General features: G+C 61.9%; 1 annotated feature.

The window, feature by feature from the left end:
* Positions 1,771-2,271: an enhancer, noted in NCBI's record as "H3K4me1 hESC enhancer chr22:19734624-19735124 (GRCh37/hg19 assembly coordinates)". NCBI's record gives its function as "activates a minimal SCP1, AML or CMV promoter by ChIP-STARR-seq in naive H9 embryonic stem cells {active_cell/tissue: H9 hESC(naive)}" and the evidence as "EXISTENCE:reporter gene assay evidence [ECO:0000049][PMID:30033119]".

Genomic DNA, 11,372 nt, shown 5'->3' on the forward strand with positions numbered 1-11,372 from the left:
CACCCCACCCTCAGACCGTGCCACTGGACACTCACATGACCCAAGTCTGGCCGCTTGCTCACTGGCACCCCTGCCAATCATGCTGACCTTCTTCCCACTAGCACCTGCTGGGAGCTGACAGAGGTCTCTATTCCCAGCCAGGCGCCTGCTCAGGTTATATTTAGGCCACAGGGGTGGGAGCTGGGCCTCTGACCCCCACCATGCCCAAGCAGGGGCAGCTGGGCTGACGCCGTGGGTTGCTCACTGCCTGCAGGGCCCCTCCCTCCAGGCCTTGTCCTCTCATCCATCGGCCATGTGCAGGCTGGGAGGCGCGGGCCGGCCATGCTTCATATGGGAAACAAGCTAGTCTGGCTTTGAGCTCCTGGCCTCGGGACGATGGGGGCTGATGGCACCAGAAACTCTAGGGAGGCCAGCACAAGGGGACAGGCCCGGGAGCTCAGGTTGGGTGGGGGGCTGGCGGGAGGCCCAGCCCAGCCTTTCAGCTCCGGAGGCTCAGACGTGCCATGAGGTCATTCCCTCCTGGGAGCTCCCAGAGCCCTGCCCGAGGGGATGCTGAGCCCCAGGCCCTTCCTGCCCAGCCGGGGCTGGATCCCTCTTTTCCCTCCTGCTGCCCAGGCAGGATGTTTCCAGGGAGGAAATGGCTCCTGGGAGGCCACCCCACCCCCGCTGGAGTCTAGGGCCACTTCCTGCCCCGCATGGGCCTTGGTTCTGCCCCCAGTCTGCCAGCCTGGGCCAGATCCCAGATTTCCTGTCCCTACAGCATGGAGAGGCAGAGGTGTCTCGGCCTCAACCAGCCTGGGAGGCACAGTCGCAACCTCCTGGACCCCAGGACCTGAGAACCTCCCCCTGGAGCCCCACTTCCCTTGCCCCACAACCCTGGTCAGAGGGAGGCACGACCTGCCCTGCCCCCATGCCCAGCCTTCCCCAGCGCCACAGAGCCTCCTTCATATAGGTTCCGCTTGGGTACCAGCTGCTGCTCCACCGCCCATCTCCATGGGGCCCGCGGGCCTGGGCCATCCCCAGCCCACCCCAGGAAGCTGAATGGCTGCATCGAAGCTCCCTTTTGGCTACAATCCTGCAGGGCTGGCCTTGGACCAGCGGGTTAGCCTGGATCTGATGGGCCCTCCTAGCAGAGGTCATCACCCGGCTCCGTGGGCAGCCCCATCCCCAGGGGAGGTCAATCAGCTCAGTCCTCACCCACCCTATTCAATGGGGCTTCCTGCCGACCCCAGATCTGGGTGAGTGTCCTGGTCACCGCCCCCTCGACCACCACCCCATGCAGCAGGAAACACGTAGCTGGGGGGTTGTGGGGCTTCAGGACTGGGATTGGAGAGGCTGACAGCAGGGCTCAGGGCTCTCGGCGGAAGTGGGGCCTCAGCCCACTCAGAGGTCCAGGAAGTGGGGGTCTCGGAAGCTTCCTCTCGGCCAGACGAGCCGGAGGGTCAGAGGCCTGGCCGCAGCTGCCCCTTCCTCTTCGGCCAGCCAGCTGCTGGGTGGCCCGTGCTGCAGCAGGCCTCAGGTTGGGGAGCTGGTTGTCCTTCAGCCCCCGCAGGTGGCCAGCATCAGGACCGGAAGGCTCTGAATCAGCCTGGTCTGGAGGTATGGGCAGCTGTGGGGGCCGGTGGACAGGTGTAGCAGAGCTCAGGGCGCACAGCAGGGGCCATCTCAGCCTGGGCCTGTGTTCCCTTCAGTCAGACCTCTCTCCAGCCTCGGCTTGCCCATCTCTCCAGTGAGGTGACAATCCCGGGCCTGACCAGACAGGCTGACCAGGACAGAGAACCCTGGGGCCTTCTAAGGCCACTGCCATGTGGGCCGGGTCCTGTCAGACACCCCCAGCCCTCAGCCCCTGACCCATTTCTGTTCATGCCCTGGCCCTCCTGCATGCCCACCCAACCCCACTGGAGCTCAGAGACCCTGCCCCTCCAAGGCCTTTTCTCCACAGCCAGGACCAGGCCCCCAGATCTGGTGCCCCATCAGTCCTGCCGGTACACCTCTCCACAGAAGAAGCCCAGACCCAACCCAGCCTGCGTGAGCCCTGCTGGGGGGCCTGGGCCATGGAGGTCCCCAGCCCCATGCTTCAGGGGACCGCAGCCCAGTCAACCCAGGCTGCAGAGGTGTGAGGAGGGGGCTCTTGCCCTTGGCAACTGGCAGGAGCTGAGGAGGTGCCCGGGAGACCCCATCCTCACAGATGCTGTCATCCTGGCACATCCCTACCTGCAGTGGGGACCTGGACAACTCATGGAACCAGTGGGAGCTGGAGGCTCCAGGCATTGATGTGCTGGGCCTCAGTCCCTATGGGTCCCCACTGTGGGAGTGTCTCAGAGTGGGATGAGGAGTCTGTGTCCGTGCCTGGGCCGAGGCCTGGACAGGCCCCACCCCCGGCCCACACATGATGGGCGGTCGTCCATCAGCACAGCCAGCCCCTCTGGCCATCCATCACCAGCCAGCGGCCACAGGAGGAATGGCCTGTTTGTTTTGCCAGCTCCGTGTCACTCCCTGGGGCGGGGGCTGGAGGAAATGGCCATTTTCTGCCTGGGCGGGCGGGTGGACAGCAGGGGTGGGCAGGGCACCGGGGACAGGGATGTGGCAGGACCCTGGCTCATCCCGGCCCTGCATAGATGCCCACAGCCTTGCCCTGTTCTGTGCCTCAGTCTCCCCTCTGGCATCAGGGTGAGTGACACTGGGATTTTCTGACTGTTCCCATGGCAGCTCTCTCCAGCTGGGTCACTCACCCCTGCCCCTTGCCACTGGGTAGGGTGGGCTCAGGTGTCAGCTGCCACCAGGTGGGGGGTCCCCCTATCTGAAATCCAAGATGCTTGATGCTGGCTGTTCTTATAAACCATGGGGGGAGGCTCTGGAGCTAGGTCCAGGCCATAGGCCAACTGTTGATTGGGGTTGGGGTGGGGGCTGTCAGGAGGTCTGAAAGGGCCTGGGCACCGATTTGGAGACTTCCAGCCTTAAGATCAGAGCAGGGGACAGTTGGGGCCACATTAAAAAAGGTAGCACGTGTAGAATGAAGGGGGAGACATCCTGTACCAAGAGGCTGGTGTCCAGACCCCGGGACTGTGTCCTCAGCACCTGCACAATGACCCTCACTGCATCCTCATGGTAGAATTTGCAGATATGATGTAGAGGTGTGCGTATATGTGTGTAAAGGGATACATGGCAGGTATAATTTGCTGACACCATGCTAGGGACTCTACAATCATTTTATCACTTCTCACAACACCTACAAGGCTCCGGGGAGTCAAACTGGGATATTTCTTTTACCACTGCAGCCTCAGACCTCTGCCCTGGTCCCTGATCCAGAACACAGTCACCCCACACTCCCCTGGTCCTGGGCTAGCAAGGAGGGCTGTGGAGGAGGCAAGCAAGCTCCAAAGTGCAGCACTGAGGCTGGGGCGGAGACACTGAGAGTCCGAAGGCACCTCCATCCCTAGGAAGCAAAGCCAGACACCCAATTCTGGAGTCAGAAAAAAGCCCTTCAATTTCCATCCCTGCAGCCCAGTGTCCCACCACCCTCAGGGGAGAAGGGTCGCTTTGCTCTCCCTGGGGCACTGTGTTTGCTTACCTCCCAGGCAGCTCTGATGTTGCATAGCTCTTTTTCATTTAGGAGCAGTGACTTCCTTCCCGAAATTTCTTCCCTTAGACCTGGGCTGCTTCCTCTGACCCTGCACAGCCCTGCAGATGTTTGCAGGGTATCGCCCTATTTTATCTCCCTAGACTGAAACATACTCTGTCCTGAGTTAAGACTCTGGCTGGTTGTAGCAGACTTTAAGGAAAGAACTTAATTGCAAAAATTCACTCTAAGTGTGGGCGTGACTAAGACTCATTGTGTCTTGAATGTGCAGAGATGGATAGGAGGAGCTCGGGGGTTAGTGACATTGAGGCCACATGAGGGAACTCTCGTGAACACTCAGTTGAAGGGTTCTGGAGTTGGGAGGCTAGTGAACCAGTCCCACCAGTGCAGGGCTGACGGCCCTGTGTCCAGAGACCCCCAAGCCCAGCCTGTTCCTTGAGCCAGGGCTGCCGTGCCTCTGCCCAGCCTCCAGCTCACGAGGGCTGGCTTAGCGGGATTCATGTGCCACCCCCTCGGTGACATCTGAGACCATGCACGTCTTGGTTGTGCCTTGTTGCTCTCTGCTGCTCTACACAGGGAGACAGGCCGGCTGGTCGCCTCGGGGGTTATCTTCCCTGGCCCCCGAAGCCCTGGTGACCCTGAGCCTGACCCAGGGGGAACAATGACACAACAGCAAATGCCCTGGGGCGAGTGCCACCCTGACAGCCCCAAGGAACAGAGAGAATCAGCAGGGTGCAGGGCTCAGCAGGTGCAAGGGGAGAAGGCTGGCTTATGTGGTGGTGGGGACAGGGCACAGGGCCGGGAGGGAGGGGACAGGTGGCCAGGGGCTCTGTCTACATGGGAGCCACATGGGGGTGTGGGTGGGCACTGCAGAGAGGGGCCCTGGTCATGGGGTCCACAGGAGAGCCAAGCCAGCCTAGAGGATCCAGGGATGGCCCAGGTGCTCCTGCCCCACCTGTTCCAGGCCAGCTGTGTCAGGGGTACTGCCTCCGTTTCTCCAGGCTGGGACCTCCACTGCAGTGGGTACATTGGACACTCAGACCAGCCCCAGGGCCTGGCAGTTCCTGGTGAAGACTGAGACAGCCCGACACCCGTCCACACCCCCGCCCAGGATGGGGTGGCTGCTGGGTCACTCGGTCCTGGCAAACACGCTGGAGGGAGGGGCTGGATTGACTTTAGGGCACTGGTAAAAGCTCACATCCATCTGTCCACCCAGAACAGCTGGTGCCAAGCACCCACTTAGCAGGACAGGGCAGCCCGCGCCTCCACACTGCCCATGCCCCCTCCCGTCTCCCAGGACGTCCACACAGGAGCCACATGTGTCCTGGACCCACGCCACCCCCCGCTCTGTCCCTCTGTTCCCTGAGCTGGGCTGGCAGGGGAAGCTGAGGTGTACAGGGATGGCCAAGGCCTCCTCCCTCCCCCCTGCACCCCCTAGCCCCATTGGCATTACCTCAGAGCAGACAACAGCTTAGTGGGGACCCAAGTGAGGGGGTGTCAGTGGCCCAGGCCCTGCCCTGCCCAGTCACTCAGGCAGCTAAGAGAGCAGGAAGGGCCCAGACGACACCCCCACAGACATATGCCAGCCCCTCCGGGTGACCAAAATCATCTCAGTAAAGGCAGATGAGGCCAAGCGAAAAGGGGTGGGTGGAAGAACCGGCTCTGAGTCTCAGCCCACAGACACTCGGACACTCGTCGGCCCGGTAGGCAGGGGTTCCTGGTGGCCTCAGGCTGTCAGGCCCGGCCCCCTCCCGCAGCTGTCTCCAGCTCCCACCTCCCCCGCCCACCCCCCAGGACTCCTATTTCACTGAGGAGATTAAGACCACCTGGCGAGAACCCCTCCCACCCCTCCCCTCTCCCCAGCCCTCCCTCCTAACCCTGTCGGCCCCTTGAGGTGCCCTCCCGGCCCCGGCCCTCCTCTCCCATCCCCACGTTCCTCCACGGCAGCCTCCACGCCCTGCCCTGCCCTGCCCTGCCATGGGCCTGAGGATGTCCCCACCCGCTCTGATGGCCACCTCGGGTCACTTCTCCTCAGCCCATACCCTGGCCTAACCCCCACCCTGAGCCTCCAGTCCCTCCAATCCTCACCCTTTATGTCCCCCAGCCCTGCATAGATACAGGCATCGTCACCAGCCACGGCAATGGATCCCGTCCACCTCCCACCCGGCCACTCCAGACCCAAATTCAGCACTGGCTTCAGCCTCCTGCCATTCTTGCTGGGTCTCAGGAGGGAACCGGGCCAGCCAGGTGCTGTCTGGGACTGTAGGCTCTGAGCCTGGTCCCTGCTCAGTTCCAGCAGCCAGTGGGCCAGGGGTGCTCAGCTGAGGACCCCCACTCCATCCAGCCTGCCGTGGGGCAGCCGGCCTGGCCTGATGCTGGCTCAGACAGACTCATGAGGAATCTGAGCTCTGAAAACCGCAGCTCCGAGCTTGCCTGTTTGTTTGCTTTTGAGAAATTCCAACCTGGTTCAGCAGAGCCTTGGAGGAGGGAAGGGATTTGTCAGGTCTGGGGTGGGGCTGGGGCAGGCTTGTGGATGTGGGGAAACCAAGGCTGAATCTGGGCACAGGGACCCAGTGGGGAAGCCGGGAGAGGGTGCCTAACTGGGCCTCCTGGGGGGTCCAGCTGTGATTCCCCCTCCCCAAACCTCACGCCAGGCCTGGAGGCTCCACAGGGGCTATGGAGGCAACAGCCACCCTACTCACAGTGCTGGGAGGACCTGCGGGGCTGGGAGGGGCCCAAGGAGGCCCTGCAGCAACAATAGTGACATCAGCTGGGGAGCTGCAATTGAGGGCCCACATGTGCTGGCTCCATCCACCCATGGGGCCTGCAGCATTCTCCCCACTTCTCAGATAGCATCACTGAGGCTTGCAGAGGCCAGGGCGTGTTCCCAGACACAGAGCCCTGAAGGGTGAAGCTCGCTCCTGGACCCAGCTCCTGAGACTGGGCGACATCACCACGCTGGTTCCTCCCTGTGCAGAAGGGCCCAGAGTACAGGGGTCCTGCCGAAGCAGTCCTGTTCTCCTTTGAAATGAAATATTGCCAGCCTTCTCACCAGCTCCTTCCCCTGGGAAGGCGGGAGACCAGACAGAGTTGGCAGCCCCCAGCCCTGCATCGCCACCCCGACCAGGGAAAGCTGCCTGTGCAACTAATCTCTCCAGGCCCCGGTCCCCCTCTGCCCACGGGCTTGGGGATCCTCCACAGGTCTCAGCAAAGGGGTTCCCGTGCTAGAGCCTTGCCCATCAGGGACACTCCCCAAAACCTGCCCCAGCCTGGGCAGCCCACCTGCCTTTGGCCCCAGGTCAGTGAGGGCGCCTCAGGTCAGCCCCCACAAGCACAGGGGGAGATATGAGCAGGGTCTGCCCAGAGCAGTGGGCAGGGAGGCTCAAATGCCAGCCTGGGCACCTGGGCACAGTCCTGGCCTAGGAGGGACAATCCAGCAGCCTTGGGGGCTTGGCCAGGGAGCAGAGTGGACCGAGAGGCACAGGGTGTGGGGCCAGTCCTCCCCTCCACTGAGACAGGATTTCCACACAGTCTCTCCCAGCAGTCACACTGGGCTGTCACAGTGACAGTATGGACTACTTGAATCAATTGAGCATTTAATGAAAACTGCAAGTGTGATATATTTGACTACTTTAAATGCTTTAAGCATCTTTAAAGAGAGATACAACATATCCAATGTTTACGGGGGCATGGCCTCGTTAGGACCCATTAACAAAGGTGCTGAGGTCACTGGCTTAGTTGTCATTCCTCATTGCCTCTGGCCCTGTCCCCAGAGCCTTCCTTCTCAGAGCTTCCCAGGGCTCATTCGCCACCAAGCAAGATTCAGGGTTGGGGTCTGAGCATGGAAAGTGGCCTCCCAAGGAGTTCCACCCAGAAGGTTCTCTGTAGACCGATCTTGTCTTGAGAGTCTCTTCCAGTACCAATGTCCAAGGAAGCAGGCTGGCCAGTCGGATGCCATCATCCGAGTGCATCCCCTTCAGAAATGACCCAGCAGGAGAGGACTGAAATATTGCATTCTTCCTTCCTCACACAGCAGCAAGCTTCCACAGTGCTTCGCCCAAGTCAAGTCAATCCAAGGCACATGTGAGCATCGTCATTATTGTAGAAGGGTTACAGTGGCCACTGTGAGTGATAAGCCTGCACATGTGTGCGCCTGTATGTATATCTGCTACATGTGCTGTGTGTGCACACTCTCTCACACTGGTGTCTGTGTTGGTGTCTGCTATGTGCATGTGTGTGCCCATGCTCACGTGTGTCTATGTACAGAGGTGCATGCATGCCCGTGCTCACGTCTGTGTACATGTAGAGTGCCCATGCTTGCGTGTCTGCAGGCATACAGTGTGCATGTGTGCGTCTGGGCCCAGTCCGTGTGTCTGCATGCAGTGTGCCTGTGTGTGCCCATGCTCACGTCTGTGTGTCTGATATGTGCATGTGGACACATGTGCCCATGGTCACAATATTGGTATGCTCACATGTGTAGGCATATGTGCCCACACTCCCATGTATGTGTGCCTGAGTATGAACATGGTGTGAACACACACATACACTCATGCTCATGCTCATGAGTATGTGTGCACGTGGTGGTGTGGGTGCTTGAACATGGGCAAATGGGAGCTACTGTCCAGTCAGGGTTCCCTGCTGCCCAGAGGAACTGGAGGGGCCTGTCTGCACGTGTCCATCTTCTGGCCACTCACCCTCAGCCAACACTCCTCCAGGGTCTTTTGGGACAAGTCCCTTCCCCTGGCAAGTGTGGCTCCCCCTGCTGGGGCCACAGAAGGGAAGGGGGCTAGCAGGGACTGGTTCCTCAGCTGGCCCGCCAGGCTGAGATCCAGCCACCTCACCAGCCTGCACATAGGTCTTCCAGGGTCTCAGAGCCTCACCTCTGCCTGGCTGCACCTGGGGTGGAGGGGCTAGTGTGGCCAGGAGATGGACAGACAGATGGACAGCCAGCTCCCCATGTGGCTGGGTCCTCCCACCAAGTGGGCAGCTAAATCAACAGCCTCAGAAATTGGAGAGGGGTCCAGGGCTGGGCTGTCCATCAGTCTGTCTGTTTGTTTGTTTGTTCTGGAGTTGTGGGAACTTCCAGTCTGCAGGGAGTCCTGGTGCCTGGCGAGGTCGGGGGGCAGAGGGTGCCATTACCCATCCGGCCAGCCATCCCTCTCATCATCTCCCCACATCTGTCCTCCTGGGAACTTGGCCCAGAACATCGCACCCATAGTTGCGGGGGACAGCTAGGCCGGGTGACAGGAGGTTGGGGACCAGCTGTATGCGGCTGGCTGTGCAGACCCTGGCCGGCCCCCTCCCGGCTGGGAGGAGGCTGGTGTCACACGGCTGTGTGCTTCCCTGTCCAGTCTTCTCTCCACCCATTACCCCATCCCATGTCTGCCTCTCTCAGGGTCTCGCTGTTCTCTTTGTCAATCCTGCAGTCTTTTGTCCCCCAGGGTCCAGGCACTAGGACTCTCAGGCGGGTCAGACCCTGCCCTGGGACCAGGGAGCAGATGGTGCTGGGGCCTAGGAAGAGTCCCAGGGGATGCTCTGGGCCGGGTGAGGGGGCCACACCTCCTGTCATCCTGTCCAGTGTCCTCCCAGCCACAAGGTGTGCACACCAGGCTGTGTCTAACTCCCAGGCCTTTGCCAGCTATGTGGTCAGCCTGGTCCTGACCAGACTCACAGGGACACCTCCTCCAAGCCCTGGGCCCCTTCCTGGGAACGTGGCTGTGGGCCTGGAGCTCCTGGGCAGGGTTCCTGCCTGCTGTCTGACACACCCCCCAGAGCTTGGAACCAGCCAGAGTACCCACGACCCCAGCAGTTTGAGTAAAGGCCCAACACCAAGGAGAACACGTGGGGGTGGGCTTGGTGAGGACTTCCGTGTCAGGAGGCGGGCGCCAGGGAGGAGAGAGGTCCAGGGAGGGCAAGGTCAAGGAGCAGTGGGACCACCTGAGCCACAGGTTGGGGAGGACTCCCATTGAGACCCCAGGCTGGGTAACAGGAACGGCCTCCTTCTTCATCGCAGGCAGTGTTTGCGGTGGCACAGGAGATCCGGCGGTGGACCCAAATGCGCCCTGCCCTGGCAGGCAGGGAAGTAGACCGCTTCTGTCTCCAGCCCTCCCTGGAGGCGGACCTGGCCCCTGTTCTGGCTCTGGCTTGGGTCCCTCCACTCCAGGAGTCCCCAGCCCCCAGTTCTAACTCAGCACCCGCCCCAGAGGCTGCAAACCCACTGCCTATGCACAGAGGGAGACAGCACTCCCGTCAACGCCTCCGCATGCAGGACCTAATGTCCGACCCGGCTTTGATGCAGATCCCAGCTCGCTCCCGTGCCGGCTCCCGCTCCCGCTCCTCCCCCGCCACCCCCGCCCGCGGTTCTTCTCTCGGCTTGGCGGCTGGGGTCCGACGAAGGGGCAGAGGCCACAACTCAGCGGCCCCGCGGGCAGCCCCGGCACGCGGCCCCACCCGCCCGCCTCCCAGGCTCGGGGTCTCGGCTCGTCCACGGCCACGAGGGTCGCCCGGAATGTCGCGTTCGCCGGTGCTGTGGGCCAAGCACTTTCGTGGGATGGAGGGACGATTGGGGAGCGCCCGAGGCTGCTGTGTTGGCGCCCGCCCCCGAGGGCTGGGAGTCAAGAGGTGGGAGTGGAGAGGGGAGGAGAGGGCAGAGCTCCTGGGCGCGCGGTCCTGTCCGGGTTCCGGCGAGGTTTGGGCCCCCAGCCGCCCGCCCTTCTCTGGGGCCCGGGGCTGAGCTGCTGATGGCGGGAGGGAGGACGGTGAGGGCAGCTCCTGGCGGCGGGCCTTCCCCGAGACCCCGAGGCCGCGTCCAAATAGGGCGCTGTAAGCAACTCCAGGCGGTCCATCCTAAAACGAATTAGCAGGGTCAAGTAAAGCCCGGCTCCTCAGTGCTTCCCTTTGCACGGTGCGCGGCGGAGCCCGATTCTGCTCTCTCCATACTCTGAGGCCTAGAGGAGGAGTCCCCCGTGCACCTCGAACCTCCGGCCGGTCCCTTCTGTGTGTATATTTGCCCCAAGTAGCCTGGGACCAATGCTGGGGGCGCAACTTGCCTGGGAAACACAGCCCAGCCCAAAGATCCTGGTATACTGTCTGCCCACCAGGGACGCACGGGAGGTAAAGGAGGGTGCGCGGCAACCCAGCGGTGCTCAGAATTCTGAGCAGTGGGGAGGTGCTGTGCCTTTATGGATAGGAGGGGAAGGGGGTCCTGCTGGGTGGGCGTGAGGGTGCCTGTCTGAAGGCTCCCCTGAGGGAGCCACGTGTGTGCAGGGGAGGCGGAACTGGGCAGACAGATGGGCGGCCACAATTCTCCAGCGGCAGCCTACCTGCGCTAGGGAAAAAAACTTCTGGAATTAGGGTTTGCTTCACCCACAACTACGAAGACTGGGGTGGGGGGCGAGTCTCAGCACACTGGACTCCCTTGGGGCAGGGCTGAGGTGCAGCCCAGACAGCAAAGGCCGCCGCGGGTCCTCGGTCGCATCCCTCCCTTCAGCCTCCTGCACTCAGCCAAGCCTCTGCTCCCCACCCCTTACCTACCCGAGTGGAAGCCAAGCTTCGGTTTTCCGGCCTGTAAAATGGTATCATAGCTCCCATCTCGCCCCCTGCGCTGGGAGAAATGGGCGTCTTGTCTTCGCTGCGCATTGCATGCGGAGGAGCAGATGTCTCAGCCCAGGCCCTAGCCTTGCATCGAGCCCTGAGGAATCAGACCCTGCGACCCCTAGCCGCGCCTCACCTTCCTGATCCACGCAAGGGAGCTCCCAGTCAGGCCTCCTATCGCGCGGGTGTGGAGGTGCGG

The sequence above is a fragment of the Homo sapiens genome, chromosome 22 (genome assembly GCF_000001405.40).
Source record: "Homo sapiens chromosome 22, GRCh38.p14 Primary Assembly".
Taxonomy (NCBI): Eukaryota; Metazoa; Chordata; class Mammalia; order Primates; family Hominidae; genus Homo; species Homo sapiens.